Source organism: Homo sapiens, chromosome 8 (genome assembly GCF_000001405.40).
Source record: "Homo sapiens chromosome 8, GRCh38.p14 Primary Assembly".
Classification (NCBI taxonomy): Eukaryota; Metazoa; Chordata; class Mammalia; order Primates; family Hominidae; genus Homo; species Homo sapiens.
In genome coordinates this window covers 109,384,641-109,410,442 of record NC_000008.11, presented here as the reverse complement: position 1 = coordinate 109,410,442, position 25,802 = coordinate 109,384,641, and the positions used below count along the sequence as shown (strand labels likewise).

General features: G+C 34.1%; 1 protein-coding gene across 5 annotated transcripts in view; it reads right to left on the bottom strand.

The window, feature by feature from the left end:
• Positions 1-25,802, bottom strand: part of PKHD1L1 (PKHD1 like 1) — a 174,747-nt gene that overhangs the window by 126,765 nt on the left and 22,180 nt on the right. For 4 of the 5 annotated variants that reach the window (NM_177531.6, XM_011517371.3, XM_017013971.2 and 1 more), the window contains exons 6-19: positions 24,813-24,906; positions 21,893-21,946; positions 21,291-21,364; positions 19,949-19,991; positions 15,958-16,028; positions 14,306-14,416; positions 11,895-11,984; positions 10,099-10,367; positions 8,855-8,946; positions 5,730-5,889; positions 5,313-5,448; positions 3,965-4,108; positions 2,237-2,394; positions 465-578 (exon numbers count right to left, since the gene is read on the bottom strand). In NM_177531.6, coding sequence (NP_803875.2) covers positions 465-578; positions 2,237-2,394; positions 3,965-4,108; positions 5,313-5,448; positions 5,730-5,889; positions 8,855-8,946; positions 10,099-10,367; positions 11,895-11,984; positions 14,306-14,416; positions 15,958-16,028; positions 19,949-19,991; positions 21,291-21,364; positions 21,893-21,946; positions 24,813-24,906 — 1,610 coding nt within the window. The remainder of the gene's footprint in view (positions 1-464; positions 579-2,236; positions 2,395-3,964; positions 4,109-5,312; positions 5,449-5,729; positions 5,890-8,854; positions 8,947-10,098; positions 10,368-11,894; positions 11,985-14,305; positions 14,417-15,957; positions 16,029-19,948; positions 19,992-21,290; positions 21,365-21,892; positions 21,947-24,812; positions 24,907-25,802) is intronic. The other variant, XM_047422420.1, reaches the window with a different exon arrangement.

Here is a 25,802-nt window from a genome sequence, read left to right as displayed (position 1 = left end):
TGTTCCCCCTTTGCCTTCACCATGATTGAGAGTTTCCCAAGGCCTTCCAAGATGTCGAGCAGATGCCAGCATCATGCTTCCTGTACAGCCTACAGAACTGTGAGCCAATTAAACCTCTTTTCTTTCTAAATTACCCAGTCTAAGGTATTTCTTTATAGCAACGCAACAATGGCCTATACACAAAATAAACAAAAACACTGCAAATCTTACCTTTGATCAGCTTTCCTACTTTCTAGCAAGAAAATTCATGAGTAGTAAAAATTTTTTAACAAACGAATCATAGACGGCAGTACCAATAGCACCTACCAACAGCCCTTACAACAAATGTATAACAAAGTCATTTTTGCAATTTGACTGTGAATAACAAAGTTATTAATGCTACTTCAGAAGAGAAATTATAAAATTTAAAACCATTATATAAATTCTTATTAGGTCAGTTTCACAGTTCATTAAATATTTCATACCAGATTAAAATCAGTTTCATAGTCTCTGAAATATTTCACAACAAATCCTTCTTCAAAATTTGCAATTTGTGGTGGACACTTAGTGCTAACCATTTCTTCCACTGCTCCCTGAAACTAAATTAACAATATAAACATTAGTAACTTCTTTTCATGAAAAGTTAGAACACTCGTAATCCTACTACTGATTCTACTAATTAGTTTTAATAGGACATTTTCATAATTCCCATATTTTAGTCATGATTATGAGTTAATTTTCTAAATAATTTTAAGTTAGTGTGATAATTTTAGTGTCTAATGAGTTTTCAAGACTTTTATTCTAGAATAACAATAGTTACATACAATTGGCTAATAATAGCATACTTAGTTATAAGGCAGACATATTTGTTTAGTACCTTTTTAAAGAGAGCAATGAAGCAAACCTAAATTAATTAGTACCCAATTAGATAGATTCCAAATAAATACTTTTTCCAAATAACTCAAAATTAACTGGAAAAAAAAAACTATACACGCCAATGGATTCTGGCCAACATGGTGAAACCCTGTCTCTTTTAAAAATATAAAAATTAGCTGGGCATGTGGCAAGCGCCTGTAGTCCCAGCTACTCAGGAGGCTGAGGCAGGAGAATCGCTTGAACCCAGGAGGTGGAGGGTTGCAGTGAGTGGAGATCACACCACTGCATTCCAGCCTGGTGACAGAGTGAGACTCCGTCTTGAAAAAAAAAAAGGTTACATGCATATACTGTAAGCTTGTATTTATAATTATTCAAAAAATAATAAATTATTGCAGATTATGCAGAAATTAGTACATATTCACAAGTCTCCTAAAATTTCCATATCATTTTCTCCAGCAAAGCACAGAAATAATTGTCGCTTAGAATTAAGGGCTTGAGACAATATATACTCTTTAATCTGCAAACAGATTTTAACTTAAATTCATTGTCCAGATAGTTGTCAAAATGTTGTAACTCACAAGCATTCTTTCTTTATGAATGGCTGCCCCCTATGGAGATACATTAGGCCCTGTTGGCACAGACCTAAGATCTTCCCTTTCCTTCTCTTGTCTTTGGAATATTTCCTCCCTTCTCTCCTCACTACGGGTAGGCTCCAACCTATCACGCCAAATGGAAGAATGTATTACTCCTCCTTAAAGTGTTCTTTATAAAAGGTTGACATTTAAATGGTGTTCTGTTTAAACGTCTCTCCTCTTTGAAAGGATGCTCCACTAGTGGAATCTCATTGATCTTTTTGACCCTTTTTGTTGGGTAAAGTCTTAAAATTTGCTGAGTTAGGATTTGGGTACCATATTTCTTAAGGTCTCTGCTGAAGCCTTAAAATTTCTCTCTGATGTATAAAAATACATCAATAAAATAATAGGATATTTAAACTAACCAATACTTTATAGCTAAGCTTTTATTGCACTACATCTCTCAAGGAATTTCTGATTTTACAGGATAACAAATTGGATGTTGAGTGAAGAACAACTCCAGTGTGCATAGAGGGACTCAAAGCTTCTACACATAGGCAGGGCAAGGCTTTGGAACCTTTGAGATATGCCTTGTCTGGAAAAAGAGGTGGCTGCACTAGGTTGACTCTTAGTCTCCTTTCAGATAAAAGTATCACAGTATATAAATTGTGGTGAGTTGATCAGGTGATAAATAATTTGCAGTGATTTTTTTTGAAGTAACATCTCTTTCCCATCTGTCTACAAATGGCCCATGAATGATGTGAGAGGGTGCAGGGAAAATGCGTGGTAGAAACATTCCTACACCGTACTTCAGCTTCTGATGACCATAGAGTGAGTGGCTTAGAAGCGATCCCATCCCAATTCAGTGTGAATGTCTCCAAGTTGGGTTTTCCTTTGGTTTGTTCTGTAATATCCAGTGTGACATTATTCCCTTCAACTACTTCATAACCAAGCAGATCAAAGTCTCCTGAAATTAAGTGACAAACAGAATTTGTAGACATTAACTAATAAAATGCCTATATATAAAACTATATATTTTATATATATTTAATAGACACTCAAATGTAGCCAAATTGGTTTCATTTGGTGCTCCATTATCAGAAAAGAAGGAAGAATGGGGGCGATGTAGATCCTTAAAATTTGAGCAGATTTATCCATAGCATAAATAGCAAAGCAGACAAAGTGCTATATATTTAAGGTGCTGTTTCTATAGCTTAAAAGGAAGTATTGTAAGATAGACAGATGTATTAGGACCATGAATAAAGATCAATGAGTAGTAGGATATTCCAAAAATTCTTTTAGTTTTGTGCTAGTACCATTATTTTAGTGCAAATGCTCAGCTGGAATATTTCTATTTTCTTTAGACATGAATAGGGCACAAAGCTGAATTCCAGGAAACAATCTCTGATCTGTGAGGTTTGTTCATACCATGCCACTTAGTATGATAATCATTGGCTTTGCCACTTTGAGAGGAATAAGGCCTGTCCTCAAATGTCTCTCTTCTTTGAAAGGATGCTCTACCAGTGGAATCTCATTGATCTTTTTGACCCTTTTTGTTGGGTAAAGTCTTAAAATTTGCCCAGTTAGGATTTGGGCACCATATTTCTTAAGGTTTCTGCTGAAGCCTTAAAATTTCTCTCTGATGTATAAAAATACATCAAAAAGGATATCCATATGTTTATTCATAAGTATTTTGACAATCTAACTTTTGTACACTTTTTAAAACTTAAATTCATGTAAAATCAAATTCTTTATCCTCCACTCAACAATCAAATAAACAATTACATAAAGTGAGACATAAATATTGAAGTAACATTTTACTTACATATTGAAAAACAATGATTGCCCAAAGAAAAGTAAACACACACACATTCAGGGACCTACTTTCTGAGCTAAATATACCAAAAAGCCAAATTAGTTGCGAAGTCTGACTTGAAGGCAGAATGTCTATGTCAATATTTCCAAAAGTGTTTTGTGTAAAACATTAATAGGCGGTTAATAGCTATTACTTGAAAAAAGATGGAAATATAAAATACGTTTGCATTAAACACAGGTAAATTGATTTTTTTCTTTTTCCTTTTTTTTTTAATACTGCAGGACTCCTCAGGGATTTTAATATTCCAATGAGCTCTGTCAATCTTCAAGGAAGACCCATGGTATACAGTGTCTCCCATGTGAATTTGACCTCAAAATCCTTTCAGTAGGCAAGATTTGACCAGATGAGTGTCTCCTGGACAATAGTGATTTGCCTAAATTTTATTTTCAGAATGAATATTTTCACTAGTTTTTACTAATTTATAAAGTAGGCTATTATATGGAAAACGCATTTGTAGTATGTATAGTGCATTTCTCATGCATTAGAGTTGTACATTCCTTGAAATACAACTAAAATTTAAATTACCGTAGAAAAAACCATTTAATTTCTGCTTCTCCTAAGATTAACCAAGTCTTTTTCTCTGTCATCTTATGGAACTTTTAGAGTGGCACAGGATATACATTTGTTTCCTACAGAAGTACAAAATTAAGTACATGCTTACCTCTAGTTGATATGAATGTTACCATGTAGACATAGCTCTGGGGATTTTGTGTTCTTATTACTTGAACTGTGTCCGGTTTTATAGACCAGAGGTCATTCAAGGCTGATTGCAGTATGAATTCAGAAGCATCAGCAGGTAGGAAGACTTTGATTGGATTAAAACAAACAAACAAACAAACAGAAAAGTTGAAATCTTTCTGAGCTACTGCAGCCAACACTGATGTCTCGTATTTATATTTTTAAAGCACCTATACTCTGTACCATGTAAGTTATCACTTAGAGAAATTGTATTTTGAAACTGATTCAAGTTCAGTAATATTGACTATTTAATTAATTTGTGATCTCTTTGAGGACAGGGCTGATATTTTATTGTTTTAATATTCCCACAGTAATAATCATTGGATTTGGCAAAGAATAAGCAATCATCAATATTTACTGGTTAAAACAATTAACAGTAGTAGCAAAAGTTGTATTTTAGGATTTATTGTAAAATATAGAAATGCAATGTTGTTTATTGGCTGATAAATTGGTGTTCCATAGGCCTATCATTTAATTTAAAAAATTGAAAGACATGTTTACTTCTGTGCAATGATGAATTTAATTCCTTTTAAATTTTTTATTTTTATTGTAAGTTCTGGGGTACATGTGCAGGATGTGCATGTTTGTTACATAGGTAAACGTATGTCATGGTGGTTTGCTGCACCTATCAACCCATCATCACCTAGGTATTAAGCCCAGTATGCATTAGCTATTTTTCCTAACCTAATGCCCTCCCCGTGCCGACCCCACCCCCCAACAGGCCCCAGTGTGTGTTGTTCCCCTCCCTGTGTCCATGTGTTCTCATTGTTCAGCTCCCACTTATAAGTGAGAACATGCAGTGTTTGGTTTTCTGTTCCTGAGTTAGTTTGTTGAGGAAGTGGCTTTAAGCTCCATCCATGTCCCTGAAAAGGACATGATCTCATCCCTTTTTATGGCTGCATAGTATTCTATGGTGTACCACATTTTCTTTATCCAGTCTATCATTGACGGGCATTTGGGTTGACTATTCACAATTCCTATTTTCTTAACTTACACCTATGAGTAGCAAATATATAAATTCCATGTGCATTTAGATATATATTTATCATTATTATTAGAAAATGATGGTATATGCCACAAAGTTATTTGTATGGATGTCATTTTCTATCCCAGTCTGAAGGCTTTTTTCCATAATACATTTTTCTGCTTCTTTGTCTAGCATATCATCAAAACTATATTTTCCAGACAGTGTAATTTGACTACAGCAAATACTTTATGACTACATCTATACATGAACAGAAACAGTATCTCCCTTATTATTTATAACTTACCAGTTTTTTCCATATTATAGATTAATCTATATTGGTAAAGTGAACATGAATTAGCTTCCACACATGGGCTGGTTACCTTGATCTTCTGAACCTCATTAATTGCATTAGTTGTTTCCCAGTTTTCCAATGTTATAACCTATTTTCCAATTAAGAAACATTTTTAATATATGAAAAATATATATATCTTAAAAGCATCATAATTCAGCTATTCAATGCCACTTTATTGCTCTATTTTACTACAAATGACAAGTAACAGCCTTTTTGGCTTATCGTACAAATACTCAAAGTCATAATTTAATAATTGTCCATGACTGCTTTCACCTAAAACAGTATCTTACCTAGTAAAATTAATAATCAAATTGAGATCCTGCCTTCGAACATTTACTTTCTGTAAGAGGAACTGCAATCATAGCAAACCTGTACTTCCTGGAGGATTGTCGACTGGGATTTGATAACTTGTTCTTCATTCACTGCATCTCCTGTTTGTTGTTCAGTATAAACATTTCGATACTGGTACAGTCCAACATCAACAAATGCACTTAATCTGTACTCCTGCAGCAAGATTTCAATATAGTATCTGGAAAATAGAGTAACTAATGAATATAACTTTTTTCCAGAACACTTGCCATGAAATTATTTTAATGAATAAAATATCAATATTATCTTAAAAGCCTGCCTGTTAAATGACTTATATTGTAGTATCTCATATTTTAAATATTCAAATGTTAAAATTTTCACAGCATTTTGCCAAAATAAAATGAATTATGTAAGATATCTGCATTAGTAGAAAGTTGTTCTCATTCATAACCAATTCATTCAGCTTAGTCAATAAATATTTATAGAAGACAATACTATTTCTTATACTCAACATCTTGAAAAATAACCCTGTCCCTGGTATATAACACAGACAACATGCAGAGGTTAAATATTTTAATGTGTTCAAGAAAATGGCAGGCTTAGACATAGCATATATTTTATATCTGAGTAGTTATATTTGTCAGGAGTAGAAGTTCCTACTTTCACATTCCTTAAATTTGGCTCCATTTGTAACTTGGGGAATAAAACATTGCCTCAGGAAACTTTTACCGGTCAGATTTACTATGATCCTCCAATTAGCTGGATGGGATTTTCACTTTATATTTTGAATTCCTGATTCTTGATGTCTCCTGCCCCTCATCCTACTGTGTACCCAAGGTAGTGCCTTCACTGAGCAGCTGTTAACAAGAGAGTGCAAAACTACTACTTCTCCTCTAAATCTCTAGCAATGTCACCATTGCTCACATCTTTGGAGAGGACAGCTGGGAGCTTCCCTAAATTGTCTCACATCACTCAACATATATTCTTATATAGGAAGAATAAGTATCCACAGTTCATGAAAGAGTCTGAATGAGGGAAATTTATCATGTTTCATATGTGTAGAATGATAGGGTTCTGGATCATTGCCCAATGGAACTGATATTTGGGGATTATATCAGGCTCTTGACTTCCATAAGAACCTGCTCATCAGCTCTTCTGACTTGAGATGACCAACACTAATTAAAGAGCAGAATTCAAAGAAGAACCATTAAAATTTTGCATCCTTACTTGTGGCTTAAAACTATTAATTGGGCACTTTCTTTGTGCTAGACAATAAACTAAGCACTTTGCAGACATTATTACGTTTAATCTTCACAAAATTCTCATAAAATAGATATTATTCCTTTATCCATATGAATAACAAATGCTAAGGGAATTTTAAGGATTCAAAATTTTTTAAACTAGTAACTGAGGGAGAATTCCAAACAAAATAAGGTGACCAAAAAGATATGCACTAGGTGAAGCTATGTTTTTAATATTTGAGTAAAATGATTTAGCAATATGAGCTACCTTTGGAAAGACTTGAAGAGCCACTTTACAATAAACCAGCTAGAGTGGCCTCAATTTCAGATTTCATAGCCATCATTGTAAGCACAGTATGTAAATTCCAAGCTGGTTTTGCAGGAGCACAGATACCAGGCAGCAGATGTATTAGGAGTTGCTTTCATTCAAACTCTGTGCTCCTGCCTAGCTGGTAGACTGAACTCATTTTCCAAAACCAAGCCAAAGTCTGAAAATGTACTGACACTTAATTGCAGTAGGGATTAATCAAGAACTCCATTTATCTTGACCTGGCCCAGTAGTTTTCATGGTTATAGAAGAAAATGTTTAATGTCTAAAGAAGTGAAAGCAGAAGAAAGAGGATAAAAAAGGAATGAAACTCTTTCCCCATGTCAGTATTACTAAGACCTCAGCAAGAACATTGAGTGTGAGAACATTAATTTGCTCCCAGGTTCCATTGATCCCAACCCTCCTTGTCCAATTCCAAAAGATCCTCATGATGCTGCCTCTGAGCATAACTTCTTCAATATCTGAAAGGGTGATGTGGTAAACTTAAAAGAAAAAAGCACTCCTCCCATCAAGAAGGGAAGTCTATTTCTTCATCCTTGAGTCTAGGCTTGGCCACTTGCTTTGGGCAATGGGATATTAGCAAATATGACACAGACAGAGTATTGCAGAGTGTGTGTGCATTAGGACTCCCCTCTTTACTGCACCTATCAACCCATCATCACCTAGGTATTAAGCCCAGTATGCATTAGCTATCCACAATGTGACAAACCGGGGCTAGTCTCCTGGATGATGAGAGACCATGTGCAATGGGATGCCCCAAATATCTAAGACTCAACCATGCCTGCTGAGGCTCTAGACATGGAGTGAGGCATTCTAGGTTACCAGTCCCCAAATAAACCAGCCAGGACTAAAAGAACCGCTCAGCCAACTATAAAATTGTGCAAAATAATTCACACTTGTTTGATGTTGCTACAGTCTGAGGTGCTTTGTTATATAGTAAAGTCTAGCAGATGCAAATGCATCTTTTGATGTTCTTCATGTAACTCCATTCCACCACCTTCTCCATTTTCAATGTATCATGTCTTTTATCTTCCTGTTTCCTAGGAATTCTGAATGGCTTTTTGAATGGGATTATCTGGTATTTGGATGATAATCCCACTCATTGGCTCCTTGGACTTGACCTTTCAACACTAAATGAATGCTCTTTCAGTTCTGGCAGTGTATTTTAATATTCTTAAATTTCCAGTACCTGGCCCAGGGCCTGGAATAAACCAGTTAATAACAAATACATATTAAAAGTGGCAACAATCTATGTGGCTTAGTGATTTTTCCCTAGCAATACTGAAGAGCTCAGCTGCAGGAACAGAGAAATTAAATGGGTGGATTGACTGAAAGGTCCAAGTAAAGAACTAAGAACAGGATCAAGTACATTTCACAAAAGTATAATTTTGCAACAGGGTTAATCTAGACTTCAAATTTCCCTGGTTAGTTGAATGCCAGTATTCTTGAAAATCAAGAAACACATTTGAATAAAATTATAGAGAATGACCAATTATAAATTAAACCAATAAACTAATATCACTTCCACCAATAAAAATAAATTGAAAATATTTTAAAATATAAACTTAAAGCTTATAAATACCACACAGTAATTTAATGACAGGAAAAAGCCTTACTCTTTTCCTTTCTGCAGATGAATATCATCTGATCTTTGTGTTGGACTGGAAAAATAACTGTTGGCATTAGCAGAATGATATGCAATCCTCACCTAATCCGAGAGAGACAGAGACAGAGAAAAGGGAGAATTTATTAATAGACCTTTTCAACATTTATTTATTTATCATTTATTATTTCAGTTTTAGAAGTTTCATAAGTAGAAAAATGTAAAACTACTTTATATTTTTCTTTTAAGATCTGTTATCTACTATGCTATAAATTTTTTTTAAATTATCAAAGTTCACTTCATTCCTTCTACCATTCACTAACATCAACACTACTGTACTAAGTATACTACGCAGATCATAGCTTTTCCATAATTAGAACTGCAGTGGAAACTAAGAAGATACTTACCAGGAAAAAGGTAGTTATTGACAAATAAAATATTCTTTTGCTCTGTGGAGAACTTTGAGAGATTTAATCCAAATTAGATTGCCAAAGATTGCTAAATGGTTCTGCACACTAGAGTGAGAGGACTTTGGGCTTCCCATTAGGAATGATTATACCACCTTTGGAGTACACATGCTTTGGAGTACAAACTATGATAAAAATTAGAATTCATAAATTACAGATAGCAATTTAAACTTACACAACCAGTTTGGGAAGCAATCTTGCCACATAAGTTGAGTCATAAAATGTTACTTTGATTTGATCTGTTAGTTTCATATTTGTGAAACTGTCCTAACAAAGTAACCCCAAATACAGAAAAGTCTAATGATCATAGATGTTCAATAGAGTATTATTTGTGGTCATAAAACACCAGAAGTAAATAAAAACTTATCAGTAGGGAGATGGTTATCTAAGCTTGGTAAACCCAAGTAATAACACTGCTTAGTCATTAAAACTAGTGATTACATAAATTATTTAATAAAATTAGTATTTAATACTAATATGTGAAAAACTACATATGAAATTAAATGTATAATTCTATTTATAAAAAATAGAGAGATGAATTTTATCTCATAACCAAGTTAATGTAGAATAATGAAATATTTTCAGGTACGGGAAATTTTCTTGTAGGCTATAGGTTTTCTATCATCTTATATCTTGTATCATATCCAGGATAATAGCCAAGAGCCAAACCACATGACATCATTTCTCATACATTTTAAAAATGTTCATTCGTTTTGATTTAGAGTAAGATACATATAAATATCACCATAATGTTTTTACAGTATCAAATAGTATTCTGAGGCTTCCCTACCTTATCTTCTGGAAGTCCAGTCTGGCTAAAATAAATAGCATAACGGTCATCACCCTTGATGTAGAATCTATAAACATCAGAATCTGGAGCCACCAAAAATCCACTAAAGCGTGCAACAAATGTGTCTTGTTCCATGAGCCAAATATAGGAAGCTGAATCTACCCAACTGGCACCCATGTACCCAGGCGTTTTTTCATTGTATTCCAGTATCTCTTCCAAACGTATTGGACGGCTATTATTCCACACCTCAAGCTTCAGGCCTCTCCCTCCTAAGTGTAATGAAATAAAATAAGACTTTCATCAGGATCATAATGCAATGCCTCAATGGCTTTCTATTTGGATGTTGGTTATAGATTTTGTATATCAATTCATATTTTTAGTATGTGTGCAGACAAAACAATTACACATTCCCCTACACGTATCTGCAGCCAGAGGGCAGTCTGTAATTTGTTCATTATTACTTCACTTATTTGAGCCTCAGTTTCCACATATGTAAAATGGGAGTAATAATAATATTTGCATGGGTGCTATAGGGATTATGTATAATACACATGTAAAACAGCTGGCATTTAAAAAGTGCTTTATGTAAGATAATATATAGTAATTATTATGATATAACTGATGTTGCGAAACTTCAAGATTCATGCCATTTTATTACAAAACCTTTGCCTTGACTATTCTAACAAAAGTAAATTAATGGCTTACAAAGCCATTAATCAGAGAAGAGAAATTGTTGGCTTTCAGATTTCTCTCAATGTTTGTTTTACTTTTTAAAAAAAACATTACTTCTACTCTAGGATTTCTTCTCCTTCTTGGACAGAATCAAAAACAGGATACTCTCAATAAACTGTACCTATACTTGCCAGAATAAACCCTGTGATTAAATTTTTTCCTAATCAGAAAAGAGCCATCTCTCTTTTTTTTTTCCTTCAACTGCAACAACAATTAGGCTTACTTCTTCCTTTAGCAGCCTTAAGCTTTTCTGTATGTGGAAAATAATGGCTACCCTTCTTCAGCTGAATTTGGTTGAAGATAAGCTTTGAGCACTTCAAACTTTCACAGAAGCAGTGTCTAGTGATATACACAATTTTCTTTAAAGTCATCAATTATAAATTATCAAAATTATTTTCTTAAACTGTTCATTTTTTTCTAATATTCAAACCAAACAAATTTAAGAGGTTCATAAACGATTCATTTGGCTTCAAATGTGAAACAATGACACGATTATAAACAACATTCACGGTGCGAACAAGATATGAGATACACACCACACGCAGACACATGTACAGCATTTCAATGATATTAGTGTAGATAGGAAAGCAATTTCACTGAGCCACAAGGTGTAAGTCTGAAAAGAATTTAGAGTAACATTTCTCTCATCTCCTGTTTTCACTCCCACATTATTCTAGACAAGTGAATATTTAACTTCCCCTATTTATCTTTTTTTAATCAGAAAAAGGCATTTAAAAAATTTCTATGTAGACTATACCAAGTTTTAGTTATCATAATTTAATTAGAAATAAAAGCATAATTAAACTCTGTCAGTAGAGATGTGCTATTTTCAGTAGGGTGTCTTGATAATTTAGGCTGGGTTTTTCTCCATAGGTACAGCTTTGTGGCAGCTATTTTAATAGAAATATTTTCTAATCCAGAAAATGTAAATTTTAAAACTTGGAGGAAATTTCTTACAATTCTTACTACAAATTCTAAATTCTAAAAATTTAAATAATATTTTTTACTAATATATTCTTTTTATGTGAATATAGAAATGGCCATTGTCCCTTATGGTAACTTACCTGGATATACAGTTTTGAGAATATGAGGTTTGGGGGGTGTCTTGCAACATATACTATTTTCTGTGACATTCAAAATATCACAAGGTTCACCTATAGAGAAGCAAGATACAAAACCGTTACTACTGAAACTTCAGAATGCAAATCACATCAGTGTATCTTTAAGCACTTTTGCAATTAAAACAAAGTTGCATAAACAAGAGGCAAAATTAGGGCTCTTTATTTCCTTTACATATTCTCTATTAAAGCTTTTCACATAATAATTGTCATACTTCCAAAAAGCAACATTTTTTTCTGGTGGAAAATCACAAGACTGAGATAGAAAATTTCATAATTTCTGAGATAAAAAATTTGATAATACTATGTCTTTGCACAAAATGTTACTTCTGAATTCAAAGTAAAAACTTATATTTTGTTCCTTGGAGAGAAGTTGCTGAATAAACCCATGTCATTCAGAATTTGCAAAGGTAGATGACCCTAGACCTCTTCAGTAGAAAAAAGTGCTGGCTTAGTCCAAGTTCTTCAAATGAAAAAAAAAGGGGGATAATAATTGTTAAATGGCATTTTCACAGACAGACTGAAACCAAAACAGGAAAAAAGGCTAAAAGATAGCTATTGTAACTTTTACATAAGCACAATTAGACTTAGGAGAAGAGTCTATGTTTTAAACCTCCATGTGTTCCTCACAATGCCTCACATATGGTCAGCCCTCAGAAAGTATTCACTGAAATGGCAATTGCAGCCCATGAAATGTGAGGACAAGGGAAATGGAGAGAGATATTTTTGCCAAGTTTTGTTTGATAGCCTGGAAAATTTAAATTTTGACAATACTTTTCACTATTTTATTGTTTGTGTGTTTTTTGAGTCAGGGTCTTGCTCTGTCACCCAGGCTGGAGTGCAGTGGCATGATCATAGCTCACCGTAGCCTCCACCTCCTGGGTTCAAGCAATCCTCCCATCTCAGCCTCTCAAGTAGCTGGAACTACGGGCATGTGCCACTATGCCAGCTAATTTTTTTTTCTTTTTTTTCTTTCTTTTTTTGTAGAGACAGATCTCTCTGCATTACCTAGTCAGGTATCAAACTCCTGGGCTCAAGTAATCTTCCTGCCTCAGCCTCCCAAACTGCTGGGATTACAGGCATGAGCCACTGCACCCAGCCCGTTTCACTATTTTGAGTGTTTTATGGATGCAAGAAATTTGAACCAGAAAAAAGGAAATAGGAACAGTATATTAAACCAATCACCCATTTTATTGGAAGCAAAGGAAAGACACATAAACATCATGTTTTCAAGAGATTATTGAGGATTCAAAATCTTGAATCTGGTTGCCATATTAATGGTAGTGAAAGATGATAGAAAACTAATATGTTCTCTTTTCATATCAACTGTATGATAGTCGTATGCAAAATAAACATAAGATCAGATTATAAAACATAGTATATAAATTAAAAGTACATTATGGCCCTGGTTTTAATGTTTAAAACATAAAATCTGGTCAGATTAATACATTATACAAATTTTAAATATTTATGGCCCAGGTTTTAATATGTATGCCAATGACCAGCAAGGATTCATGCAGACACGAAAGAAGACTGTATAAATATTACATGAGGTTGCTTAATATCCATTTCTCTTTTTTCTGAAATCACATTTTGGCTGGCTTGTGGGCAGAATCTGTAAAAGGTAGAAAGTACTTGAGCAAGAGGACTGTGGAAATGCATATGCCTTGTTGCATGGGCAGGCATCCTGTCCCCTGCCTAGCAATAGACGTGATGTCATTATGGCTGAATGGGAAGATTCCCACAATCACATTCACCTCTTTTGAGCTGCATAGCTCCCTACCTCTGAACAGATCTGGACAGGACACATAAAAGTGAAGCATAACCACAGAGCCAAGCCCTACATGGATTTGTAAACAGATAACTCATTGAAATTACTGCTCTTTCCAAGGCCAATATCTTCAGTGATTACTGATGTCCAGATGAGGCACAGTATATGAGAAGAGTATGAGGAGAATAACCAAAATATTACTTTAAATTTCCTCACAATTAGCTAACTCGCTGAGAAATAACAACCATTCAAAAAAGGCATTTAAGAGCTTCTAAATTAAGGGTAGGTGTGTCCTTAAACTGTGGCGAGGAATTCATGGATGGCAGCTACAATGCTGCTACACAAAGCCTGTTGGTGCCATCCCTAGAGCTCAGGTCCTATTCACATGAGGTTTCAGGGAGTGACCCTTGCTGGAAAACTGCAATGGAAAGAGCATCAAATCCCAGAACCAAATGACTATGTGAAAATACTCAGCTTCCAATTGAAGGCATGAGTTGAGAAAAGACTATTATTATTATTACAAATTATTAAAGAGCAGGCAGAATTTGTGGTAATAAAGTAATATATCAAAAACCATGAGAAATACCTCCAACTAGAACTCTGACGGGGAAATCTGTCTGATCAAAGAAACGCCCACTTATTGTCAGCGTGGTGCCACCTCGAATGCTTCCTTGTGAAGGGAAAATCATGGTGACCTCTGGGGGAAAACCACATTAAATAAAATATCATAAATATTACACATAAACCCAAATACCTGATTTTTTAAAAATTCCAAATTACCTAGCCATAGTGCCTAACACAGGTAGTAGATTACCAACTGCATGAATTAGGTGTTTCATTACTTTCTCTGATGCAATCCTGAAAAAAGGACAATAGACATGGCATTGACAGAGACTTACATTCCATGAGGACCAGGCTTTAGTGGTGACTGGTATTAAAGCAACATTGGTAATGCGAGCATTAAAGAAGTAAGGAAAACCTGAGCTGAGCACGAAGGCAGGTAGAACCACCTCTTCTTCCATATGCTCTTGAAGAATGAATCTTTCCTATGTTTATGGACCAACCTCTTATAATTTTCTTTTAGAGTAACACATTTAACTATGATTGAACTTCTTGTGGCTTTGCATATATAAGTTGTAGTTATATTGTAAAATAGCCCAATAAATGACATATGGCAGATTCTTACTAAAATTTATCCTTATTAACTCTATCAAATATCTATGTATTCTTACATATGAATTTCACACTAAATAAACTTCTAGGAAGTTTCACATTTGATTGATTCACAAAAAGTTATCACATTTGATTGATTCCAAGACCCACCTTTTTTAACATCTTTGAAATCTAAACGATCTTTCCATTATTCCTGACCGGGAATGACGTACAATTTTCTCAGGATGATTTGTGTTTGTTCTGATATTCTCCAAGGGATACTATCAACCTGAAACCTCTTTAAATTAAATTATGATTGTCTTGAGGATTCTTTTGAACCACACTGAGAGCATAAATCTCAGACAGCTTAAATGGTCTCCAAGTTACCAGACTTTACATTTTTTGACTTTACAATGATTTAAAAATAATGAATTTGGTAGAAACCATATAGTACTTAGAATTTTGATCTTTTCCCAGGCTAGTGATATGCGGTAAATACTCTCTCCCGATGCTGAGCAGCACAGCCAGCTGCAGCCCCAGTCAGTCACACAATGATGAGGGTAAACAACCTGTATTCTGCAGAGCACTGTGTTGTCAGATGATTTAGCCAAATTGTAGGCCAATGTGAGTGTTCTCAGCACGTTTAAGGAAAGCTAAGCTAAGCTAATACACATTCAGTGGATTAAATGCATTTTCGATGTAATAATATTTTCAACTTATGATGGGGTCACCCCATCGTAAATTGAGAGGCATCTATACTGGTTTTGGTTAAGATTGACAGTGGAGATTTTTTCCCTCCCTCTACCAATAGCCAAAGTTGAAACATGCAAATTTCCCTGCTGTCTGTGTTAGTGTAATGAGTTTATTTTTCAATCAATCTTAAACTAAGAATATTGTCTGCTGTGGGGGAGGTCATGCTTAATGTTGTAGCTTCCTGTTAGACTCCCCATCTTAGGGATTTTTCCTTTCCTAGCAGTACATCAAATAATATAATACACCTTACACTCATTGTCTTTGGTTTGATTAAATCAATTATACACTGCCTTCCCACCACCCCCGCAACAGAGTGAAAGAAAAGTCACATACCTGCATATGTTTGAAACATTGCAATTTTATTGAGAGAAGAAACAAAATATGCCATTTTCTGTGGAAAACTCCTGTTAAAAAAAGATTAAATTTTCTGCTTTAAATGATCTTTAATTTAGGAACATTTTTTTAACTTCAGTGATAGAAATTATGTCATAATCTGCAAAAGAGCACGATGGAACTTTTGGGAGAAGATAAGAATGTTCTTTATTTTGATTTGGTTGTTGGTGACATATGTGTATACATTTGTTACTAAATTGCAAACTATATCTCAATAAAGTTGATTTCTTTTTTTTTTTTTTTTTTTTTTTTTTTGACAGAGTCTCGCTCTGTTGCCAGGCTGGAGTGCAGTGGTGCAATCCTGGCTCACTGCAACCTTTGCCTCCCGGGTTCGAGGGATTCTCCGGCCTCAGCCTGCTGAGTAGCTGGGACTACAGGCGCATGCCACCATGCCCAGCTAATTTTTTTGTATTTTTAGTAGAGACGGGGTTTCACTATGTTGGCCAGGATGGTCTCGATCCCTTAACCTCGTGATCCATCCTCGGCCTCCCAAAGTGCTGGGATTACAGGCGTGAGCCACCGCGCCCGGCCCTACAGTTGATTTTAAGAAATTATATTGACATAAAAAAGCATACAAAAGGATTACCCTTTATAAAGGCTGGGATCTTCCGCTGACCGCCCCAGTCTGTCTTCTTTTAGAACCTCCTTTTTGTTCTAAGAGGTGGGATCATGCTAAGAACTTTCAATTGATTATGCCGTTTGATCTTTACATCAACCACATGAGGTAGATAAATTTCAGAGAATTAACTTAAGATCGCACAGTGAGTAAGTGGCAGACACAGAACTGGACCCAGGCAGTTTGAGTCCAGAGCTGTGGCTCCTCACGTGTGTATTACACAGTACTACTCCTCTGCCCACTAATGTGTGTGACACTGCAAATGGATGACAGCAAATTAGCAACAATTGACTGGGTTAAAACTGTCCTTAATAAACACAGTGCCCATTATTCATACATATACACTTATACTTCTATAAACCTAAAGAATTAAGAAGGAAAATAATTCTGGAAATTAAATGCTGTTACTTTAATTACCTTCAAGACGTTCTCCACTAGAAAAGTTAAGAAATTCAAATATTAAGACTCAAATCTCATTCATCATAATCACACTGAATTAGAATCTAAAAGAATAATGTAAATCTTGTCACCGAGACCAACAATTAATGCTCCTGTAAATCTAACCCAGGCATTACCATGTTCATTTGCAAGACTAAAGAGTCTCTGGAAATATTTTATGCTAGATTAGTTACTTAAGAAATTCATACTAGATTTCATATTTTTATGTCAGAAGCCTTTTGGCTGATTTCCCAAAGATCTGAAACGATGCTAGCTCCAGCGATACTGTGTCTGGTCAGATCCTGCATCTCAAAAATTAACTCTGCTTCTTAAGTTAGTGGGGAAATTGCCTCCTGAAATAAAATTTGAATGTAATTTATTTTGGATGACACTGAGGTTATTTTCACTAATTCATTGATAATGACTAGGCATTTCTCAATTAAGGCAGCTTCGTCTGAACCTTATCAGTTGGGAACAGCTGTTGTTTGAACTTGGGGTAATAGAGGAGAGAAGGTTGGCTATTAAAAGAAATACAGAATAGATGCCACAGAAAGGCCTTTAATTGGTTTGTTTGATATTCAACAATGCTCATGAAATTTGTGAAATATGAATTTTATAAGTTAATGAATGATTTAACATTCAAAAAATAATGTATTTTTTGAATGTAAGATTCAAAATGTAAGATTTTTTATCTTTTTAGGTAATCTTAATGTAAGATTACCTAAATGTAATCTTAAAACTAGGATTTTAAATCATAAATGTCATATTTCTGTTATCTTAAATTCATAAGAATACTTTATACAGAAACACAAATTTCCTCAATTCTAAGACATTTGTACAAAGGGATAGCTGTTGGCTTTAAAAAAAAATGGGTGGGGGGTGGAATTATAAATTGAGTCCACAGAATCAACAATTTAATGCAGTATTTTTGCTTATATTATATGTGAATTTCCTGGCATTTCTAAATTGAAAGTTTCTGGGCATGTTAATGCAGCATATTGATTTATGGGTACTTATCAATCACGTTCAACCTTGATCACTCAAACCTTCTATTTTTGGATAATTATTTCTCTGAGAGACATATGATGGATTTGGCAATTAATGCCTTTCATACAGACTCAGAACTAAGAATTCATTTTTCTTTCACCTTGGGAAGGTTGCTACTAAGAGCATTTAAAAAAATCATATGTAGTTCAAAAAATAATTTAAAACTCAATAATTATTGTTCCTAACATGGTTTTCTAATACGTTCAACAAAATCCTGTTGCCGTGTCTTATCAAGTCGTATGTAAGTAGGTCATCCCTAAGGAGAATAACTGTTAAGTTATGGGACCCTAAGTCATGTGTCCCATGTAAATCACAAAGGTGTATCCTAGCATCATTTATATATCTTCCACTCTGATTTACTCTTAGTTTTGGTCTAGCCTATATTGGTCTATAATAAAGTGTCCAGCCAGGCATCAATTTGTTATAATGACACCGATTGCCTCTAGGTGTCTAGAAGTAGATGATCTCTAAATACAATGATAGTGTACTTGAGTTCACAAACCAATTGCAGTTCCATACATGAAGGGACAAAATCTCATCCTTCACTTGTAGTCTGTGAGTGCTACTAGGAATAACATCTACTTAGATTGTAATATTGCCATTTTTTTCAGACTTCTGATCATTGTTCAGAGACAAAAAAGAAATTACCGGATCTTTCCTATTATTAATCTACTATAGCTATATTAGGATTGAGTGTTAAATAATGCAATTTATATGGGTTTCTGTCAACTCGCTTTCTCAATGGGAGACACTATGACATCTTGGGCAGAACAATTAATTTGGGTTTGGCACATCATGATACTGCCCACTAAAGGCCATTAACATACCCAGTTACTATGACAGCCAGGGGATTCTTCACACATTTGCAAATGCTCCCAAGAGTGGGGAAATCCTGCTATGGTATGAAATCCTGGATCAGGATGGTAAGCAGTGATGAAATGTGGTACTGGTTGCTGAACTGCTCCATCAGTCATGGCAAAGCACTGGAATAAAATGCTCAGGTCCTAGAGTTAGATGGCATGGGTTTGCACACTAATGCTGCTTCCTACTAGCTGAAAATCCCTAGGCAAATTACCTAATGTTCCTAAGTCTCATTTTCCCAGTGGGTAACACAGGGTAGATGATAACACTCGGTTTATCCTTGGGAGCTTCTTTGGGAGGATTAAACTTGATAATGTATGTAAAGTGCTTAATACCATGCCTGCTGCTAAATGTTCACTATTATTATCTATAATATGGGGTTTCAACATGCATTGAGATTTGCATATTCTGATGTTTCTATAAATGTATGATGATCTTTCTTATTGAAATTAGAATGTAGAACATCTGGAAATGAGTTCTAGTTTTATTAGAAGTCATAAATATGAGTTATTAATATTGCTGTTAAGATGAACAATTGAAAGATATAACTACCATCTTTCACAACTCTCTATGTCTTGATAACTTAAAAGAAAATCTTTATCAGGTAATATTAACCATGAGGTTTTTTTTATTCTTCCATTAGTTTAAATCTAAATTTAATTACTTTAGTTATTTAAAAAGTTACAATTAAATCAGAAAAGCTGCAGGACATAAAATAATATTTTTCCATAACACAAGTAAAGATTTTTATGTTATTTTAGTTAATGCTAGATTTCCCTACAACAGAAAGGTTATGTATGAAGCATAAATTGTGAGTGAAAAGAAGGTACAGACTCTTTAACTGTTAATTGGGGAAAAAAAGTAGTTAATTTTTAAACCTCTGCATCTACAGCACAAACTAAATATACATTTTATCTTATTTACCCTGTTGAATCAATTATAAAAGTTATTATTTACAAAATAGCCTACCTTCCATAATCATTATCTAAGATGAAGCTGACATTGTGATGACCTGGAATTTAATGAAAATACACAATCAATTAAATTCCCAGTCACAGAAGAACAATAACTCTATATTATAAAGCTGATTTAAAAGCAGAGAAAAAGTACAAAATCAAAATTGTATTTATCCAATTTTATATTCATCATCAAAGAAATAAAAATTGAACTATCCTAAAGCAGCCACTATATAAAAATATACGTAATAAGGTGTCTTGAAGTTATAACCAGAAACACATAACAAAATATGATCATGAATGAAGAATAATAAAAGAACAGATATGTAACCATATTGCCCTGAAATTTCTTTTATTTATTTAACAGCTATTTAACTGTTCAGACACTCTGCTAGAGGCTGAGAGAGCAGATGTGGGGTGAGCACACAGCTTGTCCTTCTTCTATAACAGAACATATTGTCTAGAGGAAGGAAACATTAGCCAAGAGCAATGACACAGAGAACTAAAAATTGTGATAATGCTATTTAAAAAAAAAAAGTAGTATGAGCTTTGAGAATGTAAGACAAGTGATGACCTAGGCCTTTTTGAGAACATGGCATTTTATCTGAAATGTTCAGGATAGGAAGTTTGCAAAGGGCCTGAGACAGAAGAGAGGGAAGCCCATTCAAGAATTAAAAGAAGGCCAGGCGCGTTGGCTCACCCCTGTAATCCCAGCACTTTGGGAGGCTGAGGCGGGCGGATCACCCGAAGTCAGGAGTTTGAGACCAGCCTGACCAATATGGCAAAACCCCATCTCTACTAAAAATACAAAAATTAGCCAGGCATGGTGGTGTGCGCCTGTAATCCCGGCTACTCGGGAAGCTGAGGCACAATAATCACTTGAAGCTGGGAGGCAGAGGTTGCAGTAAGCCAAGATCACGCCACTGCACTCCAGCCTGGGCAACAGAGCAAGACTCTGTAACACACACACACACACACACACACACACACACACACACACACACACACTCTTAAAAGATCTATGTGTCTGGAGGACATAGATCAAGAAGAAAAGAACAGAGCAAAATTAAGGCAACAGGCAAAATAGCCAAATTAGACACGGAATGCTGTAGGGAGAAAGAAGAAGAAAGAGAAACCTGAGGAAGTTTACCTTATATATAAACCATAAGAAAATACTGATTCATACATGTTTGCATGAAAGTGAAAAGAAGCCAAGGAAAAGAGAAAATACAAAAAACAAACAAACAAAAACACCTGATCCAAAAGGGCAGAGGAGGGAGGTCTAGGAGAATACAAAACAGGGAAATAGAATAAGGCATCTGTGAGCATTATGAAGAAAGATGACCAACACTTGCCAATAAAAGTTCCAGTCGTCTTACAAACCATAGAACCCATATCTCCATTTGGATGATCCAGTTTTAGACCATATCTAATTAAAAAAAAGTTAATGTCAAAGCTTATATAGACACTAAAATTTTAGAATATTGTGTTTCTCTTAAAAACTACTCATTAATTTCAGAATATGAATCAGGACAGAAATTGTTGCTACAACCAAAATTTCTGTAAAATAAAACTATTTCCCAGACTTTGTTGAAGATGTTTGCATAAAATTTTATACAACAATAAAATATTTTATAATTAATTTGACTATGCCCTTTAATATTCCTTTAAAAGACTTTGAGATACTGCCAAATGAAATAATTGCTTGGTAAAGATATTGCTCAAAACATCTTTTTTCATAAAAATCTAAATAGTTCATATCATACTATCTTGGAGACCTAACTGTAAGGTAGCACCTAACTGTAAAAATGATTGCTAATGCGCTATGTGGAATATTATAATTTATACTGTATTATAAACCATTTAGCTATGCAGTATTGGTAGCAATTACTATTTAAATTTAGTATGCTTATATCTGCTATTTGTTTTTGTAAAGAAAATAATTTGAATTACTTACAAATTATCAGATTGTGGTATGAGAAGCTCACAGGGCATTCCTCCAATGTAAACTCTGTACAAATATTTTTATTAGAAAAAATCAAGTTATGTTTAACAAATTGTTTCAAAAATGCACTCCTCCCATCAACTCACTGGTTCCCTTAAATTTTTTTTCTCAATCACTTATTATTATCCCTCACTCATGCATTCAACAAAACATCTACTGAACCTCTATTATGTGGCAGTCCCTGTTCTAGGTACTGGCACACATCGGTGAACTTAACAAAGGTTCCTTTGTTGCCCTTGGGGAGCTGACATTTTAACTGGGAAAGATGAATAAAACATGATAATCATAACATATTTGGTGTGTTAGAGGTGTTAAATACTACAAGAAAAGACAACATAGAAACAGATAATAAAGTCATCCATCTGAAGTTCAATCAACTCAAAAACAATTTTGTAATAGGTTTTGTACTATAGGAATTAAGGTAAACAGCACAGACAGCACAAAGTTATCATGAGAAAGAGGATGTCTAACAGCATCAGTGACACATAAATGAAAATAAGAAGCTGAGAAGAGCCAGAGTTCAGCTGCAGGGAAAACATCTGCCTTCATATTTCCTCAGGTGATTGGGTCTGACCTATTACTTGGAAGCTGATAGTACCTGATGCTATTGGAGGCTGGCAGGTGACTGATTGGTGTTAGATTCTTTACAACACCAGAATAAACTATCAGCTTTTGGGACAGCAAATCCCAGACTCAAAATAAGGCCAGATACAAACTTGAACTATAAAAAATAAGGACTTTTGTTTGCAGAAAATTTTGAACTTTTTAATATACTTTTACACATAAGTCCCTTCATTTGATCATTACATTAGGATTGCAAAGCAAGTAAACTGAATTATTGTACCCATTATACACATTCATGGATTTAAATTCTCCTAACCTCCTGCCTTATTCTAGCTAAATAATAAATTTAGGAGCTAACACTTATAGGTTCCTATGATGTTTAATCCTTGCAACCATCTTATGAGTTAGTAACTATTATCCTTCAATTTTACAGATGAAAAAACTGAAACAGAAAGCTTAAGCAGATTGCCCAAGCCTGCAGACAATAACGGGTAGAGCAAGAATTCCAACTCAGACAATTTGGCTGCAGTCAGTATTCTTAACCACAGTTGGTAATCCACACAGTGATCTGGGTATGCGTATCTAGAGTAAAACCACCCTATTTGGTCTTTAATACATACTTTTTAGAATTCTTTTTACCTGATCTTTTAGATCAAAAGCTGCTTAGTAAGCACTAATCCCTCTATCCATTTGCATGTCCTCTATAATTTCTACCTGGTCTGAATTTGGAGATTTAGTTGAATGGACAAGATTTGTGAGAAGCAGGTCTCCTGAATTCCTGCCCAGAACACAGCCCATTGCTCTCAACTCCCTCCCTACTAACAGAATCCAGGCATAATAAATTGCCTTGGGAGCCCTGGTATCATAATTAACATGGGAGAAATGAGACAAATGCAGCTCCAAGACTTTCTTGCCCAAACATTAATAGATGTGTGAAAAAATTCTATATTTACATATAATAGCTCAGGATTTCCAAAGTACAAGGATTAGGTAGCCCGACCTCTAATGTCCCATCTCACTGCAATTCTGTGATTTCATGGAATAATTTCCATCCAAATCTTTATATTAAGCAGAAATAAATTCCAGTTTCAGTGGGGGAAAAAAGGAATCTCTTTTTGAAAGTTAAACTTTCTATTTCCTGGCTTCATTATGGGAACGGATGACTTAGAAAAACCTGTCTAAGAATTAGAATATAAACCATTCCTAATGCTCAACTATGTTGAAGCAGACAAAATTTTTACTTCTACTAATCTGTACATATAAAATGTTAAATATCTCTACTTGGAAGTTCTTTTATTACACATAAGGAATTAGTATGAATATTTTCAGAAATTATAGATGCATACAAATGTGATTTAATTAAAGGTTCTATTCTATAGAATTCCAGATAAATCTTTATTTCACTCATTAAAACCTTTTAAATTGCTTGTTTTACAAAATTATGTATTTGTATGTGTGTGTATATATACCTCACCTTTACAGCATTCAAAAAATTCTCTAATTGCTGAGTGTCTATCTGAATTGTTTAACTTATCCATTTACCTGTTTTATGCATGAGTTTGATAAACATAAAATATCTTGAAAGCCATAATCATGAGTCTACACTTTTTTCTGTAGGAAATAAACAGGACTTTCAGTCTTTAAAGGCAGGACTGAAATAACACCATCTATGCTACAGGAGGAAACTCTAGTGACAACGCTAGTTTTTAGTCCAAAATGTGGACAATTATTTTTTTGACATTAGCTAACTAGCCAAGGTTACTATCTAGTTCACAGCTGGCAAATGGACAAAACAGGATTCAAAGCTTGGCCTGTTAATGAGTTATTGACAATGTTTGGTTTCAGCACTTGCCTGTACATCATGAAGCAGTAGAAAATGTGTCAAAACTGTGTTACGAGACTGTGTTCTACTCCTGACCCTGACTAAGCTTTGTGATCTCTAGGCCTCAGGTGTTTTTATACACAAAATGAGACAGTTAGATTAAGTAATAAAGACCTCTAGTAATAAAGTTGTATGACTATAACTCAATTACTATTGGACTTGTCTGTGTGTTTCTTCTGTTAATAAATCCATCACAAAACAATAAGAAATTACACCAGACCAAAAAAGAATGACATATCGACCATTGCTTTTGTGTCAATGAATCTTCCAATAGTCTGTTTTACTTTCTATAATATGGCTGAAAAAAAAAACACTGGTTAGTTATATTACATTGTAATGGGATTTAATATCATTGGACCCATTATTTTTATAATATTACTTCTCATTTATGAGTTATAAGAATATATTTCCACATCAAAAGATTACCTCAAAATCCTAACATTTTTCCCATTTGAGCTTAGTGCAATATTACTTCCATAGACATCAGTGAAGATTCTGCCTTGGATTGTTATTAGTGTACCTGAAAACAAACAAAAACCCCAAAAAGATTCTGTGTAAGAAAATCTATCCATACACTTAATACGAAAACATAAGAGATTTTCCCAATAAAACCAGGACCCAGACACTTATACCTCATGTTTGCCACTATTGTTTAGCATTGTTCTGAAAGTTCTAGCAAACACAATAAAATATGAATGAGTATCTGTAAATATTCATTGAGTAAAGAAGTGTAGCATAGAAGACAGGATGGTATTCCACAAGTACAGCTTGGGTCAATCGGTGACTATTTGAGAAAAAAAAAAAAAAGATCTCTGTACCAAAAAGTAAGAGAAATCTTAGGTGAAATAAAAATGAAATATAAAAAATAAAACCATAACAATTATTGAAAAATAGGTGAAAATTTATATAATATTTATATAGTTAGGTTAGTAGGGCCTCCCACCCATTTTTAAATGCTATTTAAAAATGAAGAAAAAACAACAAACGTTAAGATCTATAGATGTGATAATAAAAATAAAAGGTTGTCTGATGACAGAAAAATCATTAACATGTTTTAAAAGTAAATGATAAATTCAAAATATATGTCTTACATATAACATATAAATGGTTAATATCCTTTTTTAAGGATATATAAAGAATCCTTGTAACTTAATAAGAAAAATGGTGAATAACTTTAAATTAAGCCAAAGAGATAAACAGGTAATGTATAAAAGAAGGAATACAAATGGTCAATAGGCAAAAAATAAGTTTAATTACATAAATTAAAGAGTTGGAAAAAAATTTAAAACTACTGTATCTTGTATATTAATTCTTGAAAAAATAGTACCTAGAATTGTCAAGGTTATACATTCTCTGTTATTGCCATTGGGATTATAAACTGGAATAATATAGTTATTATAATGAAACCCTGGAAAC